Source organism: Homo sapiens, chromosome 1, assembly GCF_000001405.40.
Source record: "Homo sapiens chromosome 1, GRCh38.p14 Primary Assembly".
NCBI classification, from domain to species: domain Eukaryota; kingdom Metazoa; phylum Chordata; class Mammalia; order Primates; family Hominidae; genus Homo; species Homo sapiens.
Window position 1 is genome coordinate 247,110,118 of NC_000001.11, and position 18,983 is coordinate 247,129,100.

General features: G+C 56.1%; 1 protein-coding gene, 1 long non-coding RNA gene and 1 pseudogene across 2 annotated transcripts in view; 1 reads left to right on the forward strand and 2 right to left on the reverse strand.

The window, feature by feature from the left end:
* Positions 1–37: 37 nt before the first annotated feature.
* Positions 38–2,300, reverse strand: LINC02897 (long intergenic non-protein coding RNA 2897). Its single transcript, NR_167894.1, has one exon. It is a non-coding gene; the product is annotated as a long intergenic non-protein coding RNA 2897 (long non-coding RNA).
* FGFR3P6 (fibroblast growth factor receptor 3 pseudogene 6) lies at positions 9,617–10,165 on the forward strand (annotated as a pseudogene).
* Positions 11,858–18,983, reverse strand: part of ZNF124 (zinc finger protein 124) — a 50,405-nt gene continuing 43,279 nt past the window's right edge. The window contains exon 4 of the mRNA NM_001243740.3: positions 11,858–13,754. Within this exon, the coding sequence (NP_001230669.1) occupies positions 13,751–13,754 (4 nt within the window). The 3' untranslated portion in view covers positions 11,858–13,750. The remainder of the gene's footprint in view (positions 13,755–18,983) is intronic.

An 18,983-nucleotide genomic window follows, 5' to 3' on the forward strand; every position in this document is an offset into this window, starting at 1 on the left:
CTAACACTAATCCTTTAAAGTGGATTAAAACCATAGGTGGATCAACAATTGCAAATTTTATTTTGGTTTGTGTCTGTTTATGCTGTTTATTTTTAGTCTACAGATGCCGACGGCGCCTTGGTAGAGAAGCCAGACACAGTGAACGAAATAGCAATGGCGGTTATTAATAAAAAAAAAATTAATAGAGTCGGGCGCAGTGGCTCACGCCTGTAATCCCAGCACTTTGGGAGGCCGAGGCGGACGGATCGCAAGTTGAGGAGATCGAGACCATCCTGGCTAACACGGTGAAACCCCGTCTCTACTAAAATTACAAAAAATTAGCCGGGCGCGGTGGCGGGTGCCTGTAGTCCCAGCTACTCGGGAGGCTGAGGCAGGAGAATGGCGTGAACCCGGGAGGCGGAGCTTGCAGTGAGCCGAGATCGCGCCACCGCACTCCAGCCTGGGCGACAGAGCGAGACTCCATCTCAAAAAAAAAAAATTAATAGAGACAAAAAAAGGGGGACATATGTGGGAAAGAGAGTTTCTGGAATGCCAGATGAGTTGGTCCCCCCTGCGTGAGACATCCATGGGAAGCCATGGGCGGCCTCTGAGGAGAAAAGTCTCCTTTTTGCCTTCATGTCTTTACGCATGCCACAGGTGCTGGCGGAGATAACACTCCCTTGAAGCAGTGGAGTACAATCAAACATCTTGGCTGCTCCTGAAACCCGCTCCCACGCATTTCAGTCCGGATAAGGTAAAGATCTTAAATAGTTTAGACACACGCCTTTGCTAGAGGAAATTCACAGAAACCGCCACGGCTACACATCTTATTAAATGAGTCACGAGTTCTCCTTCATTGATTAATCCTTTTCCTCATCCCTTCTCACCCCTCCCATTTGCCCTAAGAACGAAGAGCTGGTAAACCAATAAATTGGGTGGAGGCCGAGAGCTCGGGGCCGCGAGCAAGCCTCCGACGCCCTGGTCCCCTGGACCCGCCGGTTAAACTGTGATTCTCTTTCTAAATCCTTTGTCTGCGCCGGACTCGGGGTACCCGCCGGGTGGTGTGGGGCTGGTTTCCCCACCAGCTCTCGAACTCCTGCACTGAAGCGCTCCTCCCGCTTCAGTCTCCCCAGTGGTTGGGATTACAGGCGTGAGCCCCCGCGCCCGGCCAAAGGGCCCCCTAGGACCGGCTGTCTCCCCCGACTACGCACCCTCGGCCCCCAGCCTCGCGCCAGACACGGCGCCGCAGCCCCAGCGCGCGGGGGTGGAGAGAGCCGCGGGGCAGGGGCGCCCTGTGGGTCCCGCGGTCACGCCGGATCGCTCGGCCGCAGTAGTGGGGCCCGGGCGGGCGCAGGGCCGGGCTACGGGGACCGGCAGGCGCGCGAAGGGCCCGGGGCGCCGGGAGGACTCGGGTTCACAGTCGCTCCCGCTCCGGAAAGTTTGCGGCGGCTGCCCCGGGAGGGACTTCGGCGGGGAGGAGGCGGCGGCGCCAGGTGGCCGAAGTCGGAGGGGTCCGTCCGCTCCCGCAGCCTAGGAGCGCGCCCTCCCCGCCGGTGCCGGGGCCCGTGGTGGGGGTCGCACCCACCGCCGCTTGGCCGGGACCGTCTTGGCTGGCGCCGCCTTGGAGCTCGTAGGCACCGCGCGCGGTGCGGGGAGCGGCCGGGGCGGAGGGACCCAGCGAGCCCGGGGAGGGCCGGGGTCCTGCAGGCGGAGGCGCCGGGGAGGGTGTGGGGTCAGGGCCCGCGCGGCGCTGCTTCTGCTCCCGAAGACTGCGGTCGGAGCTGGCGCAGCGGAGGGTGCGGCTCCCGGAGCGCGAGGCCGCAGCGGGGAGTGACCGGAAGTGGCCTCTGCAGCCGCGTCCCTGGGCCCATGTCAGGGACGGCTCTGGCTGAAGCAGGAGGACGGCGTTTGGAGGGTGGGGTGGGCGCGTCCTCTCGGCGGCCCGCGTGGACTGACAGCCACCACTGCCCCCACGCTGCCCTCGTGCCCGCGGTTCTAAGAAGTCGAATGCCAGGCGGAGGCGACGGGGCAAATGGCCCAGGCTTGGGAGGCCGCTGGCGGTCCAGGTCCCGCAGGATGTGGAGGATTTTCGAGGAGGGCCCAGGGGCTGGAGGGTGCACAGGCCCATCTTGCACAGGAGCCACGGCCCCGGCCTTAGCTGGGCGGAGCAATTCCGGTGCCGCCGCCCCTTCCCCGCCCGGCCATGCTCGGGCTCCAGGCGGGCTGCTGCAGGGGGCCTGATCCGGTGGACGATCGGCTCCTCACCCCGGCAAGGGCCCCCACCTCGGCCGCTGACAGCCTCGCAGGGAGGCCCCAGCGATGAGCAAGGGGGCTGGCGGGAGGACGGGAGGCCCCGCCGGCCTGAGTCCTGGACAGGTGATTGGCAGGTGAATGAGCTGGAGTGTGCAGCGTGCCTGGCTGGGGGCCAGGGAAGATCTGCCGGGACCTCAGGGGCTGCAGGCTGCCAACTGCCCGCCCCAGCTCTGGATGCCCTACTCGAACCTCAGTTTCCTCACCTGCCAGGAAGGACCCGTATGTCAGGGGTGTTTTGACGATTAAACTGGACAATCCAAATAAACTCGCATTAGCCCTCCTTGGCCGCACATCTTTCTGACTTTGTACGAAACTCTGGAATGCCTGTAGGTGGGGAGGCAGGCAGGCCAGACCTTGGCCCCTGGCTGCATTGTCCCTTCTGGGCGCCCCCACTCCTCCTGGGCCCTTTTAAAGCACATACCTAGCGAAACATCTGGACCTCAGAGAGCCTCAGAGAACTTTGTGCATTTCCAAAACCAAAATGCTTTCTTCCCTGACCCCATGTTCTCATCTTACTCCAAAACGCAAATTCCTTGGGCAGCCAGCTTCAGAAAAGGGCCTCAATTTGATGTTTGTTCTCTGGGACCCACCCCAGGGCCCTTTTGATGGAGCATCATTCCACCTCCATCCCCACCCCCTCCCCCCGGGGCTTCCCCCAGTACACTGGGGGCTCTTAACTGTAACAACCTGGATCTGGCCACTAGACTCCCAAGGCAGGGGACAGGGAACACAGTTCCCCCAGCAGACTGGCCTAGCCATGGCCTGATGAACAGTGATCTCTGGGCAGGAGACCCAGGACAGGAAATATCTCCGCCCTCTACTGTCAGACCCTCCTGCCTTCGGGGTGAGATCACCTTTTGCCACAGTGGGAAAAACAGGCACAGGGCCAGTGACCAGCAAAGTCAGGGAGACTGTGACCGGGAAACATGCCCAGGCGCTGAACAGCACTTCCAGGTTGCCACAGCCTTTGGGCGGTTCTTGGCATGTGGCACCCTGGTTGGGTCAGCACCTTGTGGGGTGGGGGTGCTGGCAGGAGCAGGTGCTGTGGGACCCACAGCAGGAGGGGAACATTTTCACCCTATCCTGGCACAGCAGTTTTGTTCTCTGATGTGTGTGATGGGAAAAAAAAAAATCAAAAGAAGAAGAACACTTTATGACACTTTCCAATTAGAAGTTTCCATGTCCATAGTAAAGTTTTCTGGGAGTGTAGCCTTGCCTGTTCATTCACATGTTGTCTGTGGAAGGCTGCGGTCACGCTGCAACTGCAGGGCCCCGTCCTTGAGACGGATGCATTGACAAAGTTGAAAATATTGACCCTCGGCTCTTTAGGGAGTTTCCAGCCCATGCCTGGTTTTGAGCACTGTCTGCTGAGACCCCAGGCTCTGGGCTGGCTCCTTCCTCACTCAGGGCTCCAGTGGCCTCTGCTGGTGTGCCTGTAAAGTGGGGGTGCCATGGGGCCTCCCTATGGGGGTGTTGAGTCCTGGAGTGCCAGGTTTTGGGGTCCCTGCATCACAGTTGACCATCTCCCTGGCAGAGATCCCAGTGCCTGATTCTGGCCAGTAGGAATATTTACTCTTAACCAATGGGGACACCTTGGAGCTGAGCTGCCACCCACCCAGCAGTGGTCCCATGACACCCCCTGTCTGGGTCAAGGTTGGGGCAGGGCTGGTGTCCTGAACTGCATCCTGATGTTCAGCAGCGGTGGCTGCTGGTGCTCAATGCCTTCGAGAGAACGCTGAGGCCAATAGCTGCTGGCAGCGGCTCACCCAGGTTGTGTGTACTGTGCCCTTCTGTGTGCGAGTGACAGGTGAGTGCCTGCAGGGGTCATACCAGGCTGTGTGGAGGGGGCCAGAGGTTAAAGTTCCCTGAGCAGCTGTGTGGTCCAGGAGCAGCCAAGGGGTCTCTGGAGGTGTGGCTGCCACAACTCTACCCTGAAGGTCTTGCTTGTCATTGGTGGAGAGGAGAGGACTCCCAGGAGGTGCTGCCTGAGGGACCCCATTTCCATCTGTGAGGGGCACCTAGGGTCCTCCTGGGGCGAGTCAGAGACTGGGCCCTTGGGGTGAAAGTCCCTTCTCTGGGCTGAGAAGCAGCAGGCACTGGGGCGTGGGCTGCCTCGGGGCCCCCGCCCACTCGCACCCTCTCCTGCACTGCAGCTGCCCTATCCTCAGGAGGTGAGGAAGATGGGAGGATGAGGCTAAGACACAGGCTGGCCGGGGGTGAGGCCTGCTCCTACCCAGCAAGCCCAGGCCTCAACAGGCAGGTGAGGGACTGAGGCCTGGGGCATGACCTCCCTAAGTCACCTCAGGGTAGAGAAGGAGCTGGGCCACCTAGATGGGTCTGTATGCCTGGCCCTGGGCTCTGGGTAGCAGGCGGGGGGTGGGAGGGGACACCCATGCTGCAGATGGGGAGACTGAGGCGCGGGGCTCTGAGGGCTCCAGGAGCAAGGAGGAGGCCAGGGCTGGCCTGTGGGGACTTTGGTGTTGACTCTGGGTGAGGTGGACCCCTGCAGATGTGAGTACAGCAGAGCTCAGGCGGCTGCAATGGGGTGGATGGACCCAGGCGGTAAGGGCACCAGCAGATGACTGCCACAGCCCAGTGCGGGGAGGGTGTCTATGCGGGGCTGTAGATTAGTGCCAGCAGGGTTTGGGTTTCCCAGCAGATGGCTGTGTGTGTGAGACAGCAATCAGGTGGACAATGCCCAGGGGTTCTGGCTTGGAACAGAGGCTGGTGCACGTTGCTCAGCTGTAGATGGCCTGGGTGGGGAACTGAGACTTGGCTTTGGAGAAGCCAAGAGACGTGCACATGCGAGTGAGTGTCATGCTGGGATGGACACGGTGGGGGGGCAGTCACACAACCTGGGGACCAATGGTGTGTGGGCTGAGCCCCCATGCCTGCTGGAGTGGAGCAGGCAAGGAGGTGAGGAGCAGCCAGCCCGGGAGAAGGAAGTCGGGGGAAGCCCAGGGATCTCTGTCACTGGGATCTCTGTCAGTGAGACCGTCAACTGTGATGCAGGCACCCCAGGGGGCCAGAGGCCAGGACAGCAGTGGATCCTGGGATAGGATGAGAATTATTTTGGCTGTGCTGTCCCCATGGCCCCTACTCCTGACCACATACTCCGGTACTCTCGCCCTGAGTCCCTGCTTGCCCCCGCCTACCTGACCATCCCAGGTAGGAGTTAGGCGTTTTCATCCCATGTGAGCTTGGGCTGTGAGGGTCCCGGGACAGCAGCATTTCAGAAGGCACTGTCTGGCCGTGGACAGCATTGTTGAGTCACTGTGGGTGCCCGGTCCTGAGAAAGAGCCCCTGGTGCAGTTTTCTAGGCTCTGTCTTCTGGGGTCTCTGCCCGCTATCCCGGGAAGCCTGGGAGGGCAGCTCAGAGCTCTGGGAAGTGCCTCTTCCCAGCATCTGTCCACACTGTGCTCACCAGTGCCTTGGCGTCATCCCCTGAGAGGTGGGCATATGTCCCTGTGGGCGGGTGACAGCAAGGTCATCACGGGGAGGGGGCGTGTCCCTGTGGGCGGGTGACAGCAAGGTCATCACGGGGAGGGGGCGTGTCCCTGTGGGCGGGTGACAGCAAGGTCATCACGGGGAGGGGGCGTGTCCCTGTGGGCGGGTGACAGCAAGGTCATCACGGGGAGGGGGCGTGTCCCTGTGGGAGGGTGACAGCAAGGTCATCACGGGGAGGGGGCGTGTCCCTGTGGGCGGGTGACAGCAAGGTCATCACGGGGAGGGGGCGTGTCCCTGTGGGCGGGTGACAGCAAGGTCATCACTGGGAGGGGGCGTGTCCCTGTGGGGGGGGTGACAGCAAGGTCATCACGGGGAGGGGGCGTGTCCCTGTGGGCGGGTGACAGCAAGGTCATCACGGGGAGGTGGCGTGTCCCTGTGGGGGGGTGACAGCAAGGTCATCACGGGGAGGGGGCGTGTCCCTGTGGGGGGGTGACAGCAAGGTCATCACGGGGAGGGGGCGTGTCCCTGTGGGCGGGTGACAGCAAGGTCATCACGGGGAGGGGGCGTGTCCCTGTGGGAGGGTGACAGCAAGGTCATCACGGGGAGGGGGCGTGTCCCTGTGGGGGGGTGACAGCAAGGTCATCACGGGGAGGGGTCGTGTCCCTGTGGGGGGTGACAGCAAGGTCATCACGGGGAGGGGTCGTGTCCCTGTGGGGGGTGACAGCAAGGTCATCACGGGGAGGGGGCGTGTCCCTGTGGGCGGGTGACAGCAAGGTCATCCCTGGGAGGGGGCGTGTCCCTGTGGGGGGGGTGACAGCAAGGTCATCACGGGGAGGGGGCGTGTCCCTGTGGGCGGGTGACAGCAAGGTCATCACGGGGAGGTGGCGTGTCCCTGTGGGGGGGTGACAGCAAGGTCATCACGGGGAGGGGGCGTGTCCCTGTGGGGGGGTGACAGCAAGGTCATCACGGGGAGGGGGCGTGTCCCTGTGGGCGGGTGACAGCAAGGTCATCACGGGGAGGGGGCGTGTCCCTGTGGGAGGGTGACAGCAAGGTCATCACGGGGAGGGGGCGTGTCCCTGTGGGGGGGTGACAGCAAGGTCATCACGGGGAGGGGTCGTGTCCCTGTGGGGGGTGACAGCAAGGTCATCACGGGGAGGGGTCGTGTCCCTGTGGGGGGTGACAGCAAGGTCATCACGGGGAGGGGTCGTGTCCCTGTGGGGGGTGACAGCAAGGTCATCACGGGGAGGGGGCGTGTCCCTGTGGGCGGGTGACAGCAAGGTCATCACTGGGAGGGGGCGTGTCCCTGTGGGGGGGGTGACAGCAAGGTCATCACGGGGAGGGGGCGTGTCCCTGTGGGCGGGTGACAGCAAGGTCATCACGGGGAGGTGGCGTGTCCCTGTGGGGGGGTGACAGCAAGGTCATCACGGGGAGGGGGCGTGTCCCTGTGGGGGGGTGACAGCAAGGTCATCACGGGGAGGGGGCGTGTCCCTGTGGGCGGGTGACAGCAAGGTCATCACGGGGAGGGGGCGTGTCCCTGTGGGAGGGTGACAGCAAGGTCATCACGGGGAGGGGGCGTGTCCCTGTGGGGGGGTGACAGCAAGGTCATCACGGGGAGGGGTCGTGTCCCTGTGGGGGGTGACAGCAAGGTCATCACGGGGAGGGGTCGTGTCCCTGTGGGGGGTGACAGCAAGGTCATCACGGGGAGGGGGCGTGTCCCTGTGGGCGGGTGACAGCAAGGTCATCCCTGGGAGGGGGCGTGTCCCTGTGGGGGGGGTGACAGCAAGGTCATCACGGGGAGGGGGCGTGTCCCTGTGGGCGGGTGACAGCAAGGTCATCACGGGGAGGTGGCGTGTCCCTGTGGGGGGGTGACAGCAAGGTCATCACGGGGAGGGGGCGTGTCCCTGTGGGGGGGTGACAGCAAGGTCATCACGGGGAGGGGGCGTGTCCCTGTGGGCGGGTGACAGCAAGGTCATCACGGGGAGGGGGCGTGTCCCTGTGGGAGGGTGACAGCAAGGTCATCACGGGGAGGGGGCGTGTCCCTGTGGGGGGGTGACAGCAAGGTCATCACGGGGAGGGGTCGTGTCCCTGTGGGGGGTGACAGCAAGGTCATCACGGGGAGGGGTCGTGTCCCTGTGGGGGGTGACAGCAAGGTCATCACGGGGAGGGGGCGTGTCCCTGTGGGGGGGTGACAGCAAGGTCATCACGGGGAGGGGGCGTGTCCCTGTGGGGGGGTGACAGCAAGGTCATCACGGGGAGGGGGCGTGTCCCTGTGGGGGGGTGACAGCAAGGTCATCACGGGGAGGGGGCGTGTCCCTGTGGGGGGGTGACAGCAAGGTCATCACGGGGAGGGGGCGTGTCCCTGTGGGGGGGTGACAGCAAGGTCATCACGGGGAGGGGGCGTGTCCCTGTGGGGGGGTGACAGCAAGGTCATCACGGGGAGGGGGCGTGTCCCTGTGGGGGGGTGACAGCAAGGTCATCACGGGGAGGGGGCGTGTCCCTGTGGGGGGGTGACAGCAAGGTCATCACGGGGAGGGGGCGTGTCCCTGTGGGGGGGTGACAGCAAGGTCATCACGGGGAGGGGGCGTGTCCCTGTGGGGGGGTGACAGCAAGGTCATCACGGGGAGGGGGCGTGTCCCTGTGGGCGGGTGACAGCAAGGTCATCACGGGGAGGGGGCGTGTCCCTGTGGGGGGGTGACAGCAAGGTCATCACGGGGAGGGGGCGTGTCCCTGTGGGGGGGTGACAGCAAGGTCATCACGGGGAGGGGGCGTGTCCCTGTGGGCGGGTGACAGCAAGGTCATCACGGGGAGGGGGCGTGTCCCTGTGGGGGGGTGACAGCAAGGTCATCACGGGGAGGGGGCGTGTCCCTGTGGGCGGGTGACAGCAAGGTCATCACGGGGAGGGGGCGTGTCCCTGTGGGGGGGTGACAGCAAGGTCATCACGGGGAGGGGGCGTGTCCCTGTGGGGGGGTGACAGCAAGGTCATCACGGGGAGGGGGCGTGTCCCTGTGGGGGGGTGACAGCAAGGTCATCACGGGGAGGGGGCGTGTCCCTGTGGGCGGGTGACAGCAAGGTCATCACGGGGAGGGGGCGTGTCCCTGTGGGCGGGTGACAGCAAGGTCATCACGGGGAGGGCTTATCTTCCTCCTGGTCCCCTGGTGCCCCCTCCTGGGGGATGACAGTTCAGCATTTCCAAGAGTCTTGGCAGGAAGGCCGCCCCCAAACCAGTCCTTAGGAAGGAGAAAACCGTTGGGCTGAGGGTAGAGGCTGCAGCAGCCCTGGACACCAGAAGGGGGCAGAGACGGGGCCTCCTGGATGCCATCCTCACCCGGTACCCACCAAGCCCTGGAGCTCTACAGAGGGAGGCCTAGGGGCGCAGATTCTAGTGGGCCATCGCTGCCCAGCCATCTCTGAAGCTCCCAGTTCTCCAGGCAGCCGGATTTCCCCTTCTGGTAAACTGTTCCCAAGGCCTGTGCCGGTTCATGCACCCAGCTGGGTCCTGGGCCTTCTCCTGGTGGGCCTGCCTCAGTGTGCTTCCCTGGGCAGGTGGGTACTCCGCTGGCAGATGCCCTTATGACCTGAAGGTCTCAAGGCCAAGGTGGAGCACGCTGGACCTCTCAGCAGGAGCTGCCAGCTGGAGGAAGCAGACAGGGAGGGGACACATGGCCCAGCTCTGAGAAAGCCTGAGATGGGGGAACATGACGTCGGGGCTCCTGGGAGCCTCGTCTACTTCAGCAGGGGTCTTTAAAAGGCCAACACTCCCTACACAGGAGGAAAAACCGAGATTGCAGGCGAGGGCAAGGTTGGAAGGGCGTCGGGTCAGACGGGCCTCTGCTCCCCACCTTGGCTATGGCCTTCCTGTGCACTCTGCCAGCAGGGACCCCACTGGACTCAGCTCCAGCGGGTGGACAGGAACCAGCTTGTGGTGCCAGACACCAACACCATTTGCTTCTGATGCCTGACCATGGGCAACTCTACTCCCTCCATCTGGCTGAAGAGCCAGAAGAAGTTCTGTGGAAAGCATCACACGCGAGCATCGAGGTGGGCCTGGAGGGTGGTGGGGGCATGGCTGCCATCCTCTCTCGCCCTTCCACTTGGAGCCGAGGCACCGGCAGTAGAGTCTGGTTATGAAGAGGGCGGTGCGTTCAGACTGCTGTTTTCCACACATGTCATGAAGAACAAGCTCAGCAGCATCCAGCAAACTTACATGCTGGACAGGCTGTGTGTGGGCTGTGGCCTTCAGGCAGGGAGCATGAAGTGAGGTAGCCCTAAGCCCAGCTGGGCCCTCTCAATGTGTTCTCCTCACCAGCGCCTTCTGCTAGGCAGCGAGGTGCAGCTCCATGGCAGGTGTACAGCACCTTAGCACACGGAGGTGAATGTCAGCAAGGCGGGCCTGGACAGCACACCGTACCTCACTGTTCTCAAGGTGGGCACCACCGTTGGCTGGGTACAGGGTGGACAGCACGCCCTACCTCACTGTTCTCAAGGTGGGCACCACCATTGGCTGGGCACAGGGTGGACAGCACACCGTACCTCAGTGTTCTCAAGGTGGGCACCACCCCTGGCTGGGTGCAGGGTGGACAGCACGCCCTACCTCACTGTTCTCAAGGTGGGCACCACCATTGGCTGGGCACAGGGTGGACAGCACGCCCTACCTCACTGTTCTCAAGGTGGGCACCACCATTGGCTGGGTACAGGGGAATGGGCAGGCTGGAGGCCTCGCTTCACTGAAGTCTTCACTTCACGGGTAGATTTCATTGAAATCTACTAGCATTATAGAATTTTTGGAGTAACCTATGAAAGACAAAATTATGTTGGAAGGCCGAAGCGGGAGGATCATTTGAGTCCAGGACTTTGAGACCAGCCTGGGAAACGCAGTGAAACCCCATCTCTACAAAAAATACAACAATCCCAGCACTTTGGGAGGCCGAGGTGGGCGGATCAAGAGGTCAGGAGATTGAGATCATCCTGGCTAACATGGTGAAACCCCATCTCTACTAAAAAAAAAAAAAAAAAAAAAAAAAAAATTAGCCAGGCGTGGTGGCGGGCAGCTGTAGTCCCAGCTACTCGGGAGGCTGAGGCAGGAGAATGGCATGAACCCAGGAGGCAGAGTTTGCAGTGAGCCAAGATCGCGCCACTGCACTCCAGCCTGGGCGACAGAGCGAGACTCCGTCTCAAAAAAAAAAGAAAAATGAGCTGGGTGTGGTGGCGGCATGCACCTGTAGTCCCAGCTACTCAGGAGGCTGAGGTGGGAGCAATTTTCCTTCTTGAACCCGGGAAGTCGAGACTTCAGTGAGCCCAGATGGTGCCATTGCACTCCAGCCTCGGAGACAGAGACACTGTCTCAGAAAAAAAAGGTACCAGCAGGAAACAAAATCCTGTGCACTGAGTAGTTCTCCAGGATATGAACTTGTTGGTTCATATAGAACCTGCTATGAACCAAAGTCCAAAATTAGATGTGGTTTCTCCTAAAGAATGTGTCAATTCATAAAAGTGGGAATCACTCCTGTGACTGTCTCTCATAATTGGTTCAAAAACATTTGCTTTTCTCTCTGCAACTTTGTATATTTTTAAATTAATTAAATCTTTTTACTATATGTGTATTTATCCTATTTCATCTCGGGTTTACCTTGATAATTTGTTCCTAATGAAATATTTATTCTGCGTTTGTAGTATTCCATAGTTTCCACGTTTTTAGGTTTTCTGGGCAGTCGACATGGAAGATTTATGAGGGTAGGGCTTTGGTGTCATCAGTGAATGACCAAGAGTTTTCTTTTCTTTTCTTTTTAAGAGACAAAATCTTGCTCTGTCATCCAGTCTGGAGTGCAGTGGCATGATCTTGGCTCACTGTAACCTCCGCCTCCCAGGTTCTAGCAATTCTCCTCCCTCAGCCTCCCGAGTAGCTGGGACTACAGGTGCCTGCTGCCATACCCGGCTAATTTTTTGTACTTTAGTAGAGACGGGGTTTCACCATGTTGCCCAGGCTAGTCTTGAACTCCTGAGCTCAGGCAATCCACCTGCCTTGGCCTCCCAAAGTGCTGGGATTACAGGCGTGAGCCACGGTGCCCAGTGACCCAGAGTTTTCTCTGTTGTAGCATGACAAATATAAGGATAGCTGATATACTTAATACTCATTTTTATTGTGTGAGTCAAATGAGTTATTGCATCTAAAGGAAACCAGTGAAGCATGCCATTTGACTTTGGATTATTTCAAGACAGCACACTGAGCCCACATCCACTGTTTCATTAATATTTAGATAGGACAGAAAAGCAAATGTTGATAAGAACAAATACTACACCACTTAATAAATAATGAATGGTATGAATAATGGAAATTTGATGAATCAGATGAATCAGTACTTATTTAGTTCATACAATGTGTTAGTCATTATTCTAAGTGATTTATACCTATACACTTAATACCTAATCGTTTAACATGTATAACACAATGATTTATGGAGAATGACACATTGATAATCATATTAGGTGGCATTAAAACCATAGAAATAAAAATGTTCTGGTATATAACACAAATGAACACAGGAAAGTTAAATAACTTGATTAAAAAGTGTGACTTCAATAGCAAAGACATGGATTCAACCTAAATTCCCACCAACAGTGAAGTGGATAAATGCCCATCAACAGTGAAGTGGATAAAGAAAATGTGGTACATTTCTTTACCATGGAATACTATGCAGCCATAAAAAAGTGAGGTCTCCCTATGTGTCCTAGGCACTGGAGTGCAGTAGCTATTCACAGGCACACTTCAGCCTCAAACTCGTGGGCTCAAGCAATCCTCCCACCTCAGCCTCCCAGATAGCTGAGATTTCGGGTGTATGTCGCCATGCCTAGCCCTGGGAGTTTTGCAGTAACACCCATTGAAGTGCACAAGGCGATGACCTTTATGTCAGATCTTTCAAAATAGTTCAAGTAACAACGGTCATCCCCAGTTATGTTCTCATGTGTTTCACGGTGCTACAGAGAGATGTTTCTGCTGATGGTGGCCACGTGGTTGAGTTCTGATCAATGAGACTTAGAAAGAAGTGCCTGGGGAGAATGGACTTCTGTAAATTAAAAAGCAATGGCTTCCAACCTAATTCCCCATGACCTATCAGCTTACTATTTCCTCCTGGTTGCTGTTTGGAATGTGGTTTGATGCCTGGAGGTGGGACAGCCAACTTGGACCATGAAGGAATAAGCATGAACACAATAACTAAGCATAGACAATGTCAGAGAGAGAACATGAAAACAAACTTGTATCTCATAAGATCACTGGACTATTTCATCAATCATGGGCTGCTACCTCTTCAACAGTGTACATGAGACACAATACACATATTATGTTCTTTTTTTTTTTTTCTGAGACGGAGTCTCGCTCTGTCACGCAGGCTGGAGTACAGTGGCGCGATCTCGGCTCACTGCAATCTCCGCCTCCCGGGTTCATGCCATTCTCCTGCCTCAGCCTCCTGAGTAGCTGGGACCGCAGGCATCCACCACCACGCCCGGCTACTTTTTGTATTTTTAGTAGAGATGGGGTTTCACCGTGTTAGCCAGGATGGTCTCGATCTCCTGACCTTGTGATCTGCCCGCCTCGGCCTCCCAAAGTGCTGGGATTACAGGCGTGAGCCACTGCGCCCGGCCTACGTGAGCCGTTTTTTGTTAATAGCTTTATTGGGATCACACACGTATCGAACATTGGTTTCCTAAATTAGCAAATCGACCATTTCCTCAGGTTATTCCAAGTTCTTCCAAGATGCGTCAGAAGCATTCTCTGGAGGCAGTTGTTCCAAATGGTGAAGAGTACTAGATGGATCCCAATCTCACAGGATTCTTGCTTCTATTGCAGAAGAGTTACTTTCCAGGACTTCAAAGGTTTAGAGAAGCTGCTTGATTCGTGTGGCTTGCAGAGGTGCATGGGCTTTGGAGTCACGAAGTTAATCCTGAGTCCCAGCCCAGCCTCTTAGTAGCTGTGAGGCTTTGCACAACTTCCTTGTCTTGGAAAGTTATATAAACCTCATCTGCAAGAAAAGGCATGATACTGATTGCAAAAATGGCAGCAACTCTTCATCCCTTCCTGTATTTATGCCCTTTGTGATGTGCTTTTAGCTGGGACTACAGGCACCCGCCACCACGCCCGGCTAATTTTTTGTATTTTTAGTAGAGACGGGGTTTCACCGTGTTAGCCAGGATGGTCTTGATCTCCTGACCTCATGATCCGCCCGCCTCGGCCTCCCAAAGTGCTGGGATTACAGGCGTGAGCCACTGCGCCCGGCCTACGTGAGCCATTTTTTGTTAATAGCTTTATTGGGATCACACACGTAAAATTTAGCCATTTAAAATGAATGATTTTGTGGCTTTTTTTTTTTTTGAGACAGAGTCTCGCTCTGTCGCCCAGGCTGGAGTGCAAAGGTGTGATCTTGGCTCACTGCAACCTCCACCTCCCAGGTTCAAGCGATTCTCCTGCCTAAGTCTCCTGCGTAGCTGGGATTACAGGTGCAGGCCACCACATGTGGCTAATTTTGTATTTTTAGTAGAGACAGCGTTTCACCATGTTGGCCAGGATGGTCTTAAACTCCTGACCTTGTGATCTACCCGCCGCGGCTTCCCAAAGTGCTGGGATTACAGGCGTGAGCCACCACGCCCGGCTCTGATTCTGTGGCTTTTAGTACATCCACAGAGTTGCCCAACCATCATCACAGTCAATTTGAGATGATCACCCCATAAAGAAATTCTGCATCCTGTAGCAGCCAACTCCTTTCCCCCCAGCCTATGCAACTTTCTGTCTAATCTACTAATCTACTTTCTGTCTCTATTTGCCAATTCTGGACATTTCATATAAAAATAAAATCACGCAATATGTGGGGTTTGTGTGTGTGTGTATGTGGCTTCTTTTACTTAGCCAAATACTTTCAAGGTTCATTCATGTTGTAGTATGTATCAGCATTTCATTCCTTTTGTTTTAGAGACAGGGTCTCGCTCTGTCACCCAGGCTGCAGTGCAGTGGTGTGATCATGGCTTACTGCATCCTCGACCTCCCCAGGCTCAGGTGATCCTCCCACCTCAGCCTCCCAATAGCTGGGACTACAGGCACACACCGCCATGCCCGGCTATTTTTTTATTTTTTTGCATTTTTAGTACAGACGAGCTCTCATCATGTTTCCCAGGCTGGCAACTCCTGGGCTCAAGTGATCCACCTGCCTACGCCTCCCAAAGTGCTGGGATTACAGGCATGAGCCACAGCGCCCGGCCTTCATTCCTTCTTATGGGTGAATAAGATTTCATTGCAAGGATAGACCACATTTTATCCTCTGACGGACACTGGAGACTTTTTCACACATTGGCTGTTACGAATGCTGCTGCTGTGAACATTTGTGTACTAGCTTTTTTGTGGATGTTTTAATTTCTCTTGTGTATCTGTACCTGGGGGTGGAGTTTTTGGGTCAAATGGTACCTCTATGTTTGAATTTTAGAGGGGTTGCCAGACTGTTTTCCAGAGTGGCTGCGCCATTATGCAATCCCACCAGCAGGGTGTGAGGGTTCCAATTTCTCCGTATCTTCACCGACACCTGTTTTTGTCTTTTTTTTTTTTTTTTTTTTTTTTTTTTTTTTGAGGCAGAGTTTCCTCTTTCGCCCAGGCTGGAGATCTCCACTGACTGCAACCTCTGCCTTCCCGTTTCAAGGGATTCTCCTGCCTCAGCATCCTGAGTAGCTGGGATTACAGGCGTCTGCCATCACACCCGGCTAAATTTTGCATTTTTAGTAGAGACGGGGTTTCACCACATTCGCCAGGCTGGTCTCCAACTCCTGACCTCGTGATCGGCGCCGGCGCCGATTAAAGGCGCCACCGCACCCAGCCATCTGTTTATTTATTTCATTTTAGTCATCCTACTGGGAATGCAGTGGTATCTCATTGAGTTTTTGGTAACAACTTTATTGAGAGAGGATTCAAACAGCATAGAATTCACCCATTTAAACTACATGCAGCAATGTGGCTGGATCTCATATTAATTAGTCCAAGTAAAATAATCCAGATAAAAGTAAGGACATTTGAATAAAAGCTATTTTCACTGGGGAAAAAAAGTAAATATTGTACAATTGTATTCATATAAAATTCTAGAAAATGTAATAGTCCAGGCACAGTGGCTCACACCTATAATTCCAGCACTTTGGGAGGCTGAGGTGGGCGGATCATGAGGTCAGAAGTTCGAGACCAGCCTGACCAACATGGTGAAACCCGTCTCTACTAAAGATACAAAAATTATTATTATATTGTACCCTATTTTAAATATCATATATATTATTCACAAATGAATGTAACATTGTATACAAGGTTAAGTGTATATAAATGAATGTCCCCTAGGCAAGGCTGGGTCCCAACCCAGAGAGGAAACCCTCTTGGAGAAGAGCTGTAGCCAGAACGCTGCCTCATTCAGACACGCGCGGGAGCTGTCACCTGTCACTAAGAGTCTGAGGGGGCGGGGCCTGAGGCCCTACCCAATCAGGGGCACCGGGGCGGGGACTGCCTAATCCGGCGCTCCGCTAGAAAACCCGAGGCGGCTTCCGGGTGTGCCCGGCCTTTGTCTCTCGTGCCCGCACGTGCGTGTCTCGGTCAGTAGCCCTGCGCTTCTCCTTCACTCTCGGCGGTTCAGGAGGCTCTGCCGCAGCCGGGGCCCTCCTGTGACCTGCATGTACTGGGGGATTCGCAGGGAGGATGTCGGGACACCCCGGAAGCTGGGAAATGGTGAGTTGCGCCGCCGGGGGTCTGGAGAAGGGAAGGGGCTGTGGCGGCCCCGGGCCCCGGGCTCCCAGCGGTCGGCTCCCGAGGGCGGACCCGGGTCCCTGCTGGCGCGGCGCGGCGCGGCCCTCGGTCCTTTCTGGCGCCCGGCAGAGCTGGGCGGGCAGCGGCACCCCGGGCTCCGGTCCCGTCTCTGCACCGCGACTTCCGTCCTGCCCGAAGCAGCTTCCCTCCCCGGCCCGCGCCCGCAGCCCCGCGGCTCCTCGGGATCCTGCAGTGAGACCCGAGGCGCCTCAGGGGAGAGGCCCAGCGCGGTGTGCGGGCTCGCGCCTGCGAGGAGCTGTGGCCACTGGCGTTTCCAGTCCCTCCTTAATCCTGTTAAAAATTAAACTGAGGTTTAATTAAAGCGTTACAGAGTTTGAGCAAACAGCGATTCATGAGTAGGGGAGCACCCAGCCACGGTTTTTGGTTTGTGGGCCACCGGACGGTCTTGATGGAAAGGCTTCTGTAAAGTGTGTAAGGAAACAAACCAAATTTATTTATTTTTTATTTTAATGATCGGGTGGGGCGGGGGGGGGGTCTCCCTGTGTTGCCCAGGCTGGTCTTGAACTTCTGGTCTCAACCTCCCGAAGTGCTGGGATTACCCCGCCCAGCCCAAAGCAACCCCAATTTAATAACTGATTGGTTATAATTATGTAGTTCTGTTATTCGGATTATTTAGGTGGATGGTTCCTGGTTATGTAATCAGAGGTAAATTGCTGATTTGGGGTTAAGTTTTCTTTCCCTTCAAGTTAATTACAAGAAAGGCATGAAGTACCTTTAGGTTTTCTTGGTGAGGAACTCAGGGCACCATCATCACTTAAGGGAGGAGACCACCCCTCATATTGTCTTATGCCCAATTTCTGCCTCCAAAGAAAGAAGAAGTAAAAACTAAAAGGCAGAAATGAAATCCACAGGCAGACAGCCCGGCGCCGCGTCCTGGGCCTGGTTACAGATTGACCCTTGACCTGACCGGTTGTGTTATCTATAGATTCCAGACATTGTATGGAAAAGCACTGTGAAAATCCCTGTCCTGTTCTGTTCCGTTCTGATTGCCGGTGCATGCAGCCCCCAGTCACGTACCCCCTGCTTGCTCAATCGATCACGACCCTCTCACGCGGACCCCCTTAGAGCTGTAAGCCCTTAAAAGAGACAGGAATTGCTCACTTGGGGAGCTCGGTTTTTTGGAGACGTGAGTCTTGCCAAAGCTTCCGGCAGAATGAAGCCCTTCCTTCTTTAACTCGGTGTCTGAGGGGTTTTGTCTGCAGCTTGTCCTGCTACAACTTCAGTCTAATTTCTTCCTATTTAATTATTTCCACAAGGGTACTGGTTTCCCCTGCATTTTCCAAATGTAAGGCAAGCAGGGTCTCAAATCCATGACCGTATTCCCCAGCCTAACTCTTCTAGAACTTGCAGTAAAATTCTGAATTTCCAGTTTCTTCCTCGTACTCTCAAACTCCAACTTCCCCTTTCCAATTTACAACATTATTATTTGTTCTTTATTGTGCATTTGAACCAGATGCAGTATTGTAATTGTTTATCATGTTTTCACTGAGCAGTGAGGAGCTGTTTCTGAACATTCCTTGTGAAAACAGAGAATAATCACCTGATCTAGTCCACTATAAAAAATTCTTTGTACCTCTCCTCCTTTTGTCTTCCCTAGGCACACTCACAAACGTCTTTGGATGGAGGTTTCCCTTTGGAACCTTCACGTGGTGTTGTGTCCTCAGCCACCCTCCTGTCTTTTCTGGGTCCTGGGTTCAAAACTGTTTGAGGATGACCTAATGTGCCCACACTGGCCCTGTCTCTTGGAGTGTCATAAATAGTGAATGTCAGCTGTTGGGTCCTCTTCTCCCAGAAGACAAGGTGAGGTTTAGGGGTGGAGCCTCTCAGAGGAGCAGCTGGATGGCATGAATCCCCTGGGACCGAGAGGAGTCTCCTGGGATACTCTTCTATACTCTTCCTCTAAAAAGCTAATCCACTAGGACTTAGATTTTTTTTTTTCTCTTACCCCCGTTATCACTCCTTAGAGACAAAATGCTGGTCAGGCAGTCGGATACTGGTATTGAGGGAAGAAAGAATTTCTGCCCTCTGGATTGTCTCATGCTTGTGAAGGGAGAACAGCTATTCCAAAGTACAAGGAAACCCCGCCCCGCAGTGAGGCAGGAACCTGAAAAGCAAAATGCATTTGGGGCACAGTGGGGACACGGCGCAGTTTTCTGGGGGAGGGTGGGCATTGAGTACTTCCCCCAGCAGGATGGGGTGGGAGGATTCAGGAGATGAGAGGGAGGGTGGACATTGAGTACTTCCCCCAGCAGGATGGGGTGGGAGGATTCAGGAGATGAGAGGGAGGGTGGACATTGAGTACTTCCCCGAGCAGGATGGGGTGGGAGGATCAGGAGATGAGAGGGAGGGTGGACATTGAGTACTTCCCCCAGCAGGATGGGGTGGGAGGATTCAGGAGATGAGAGGG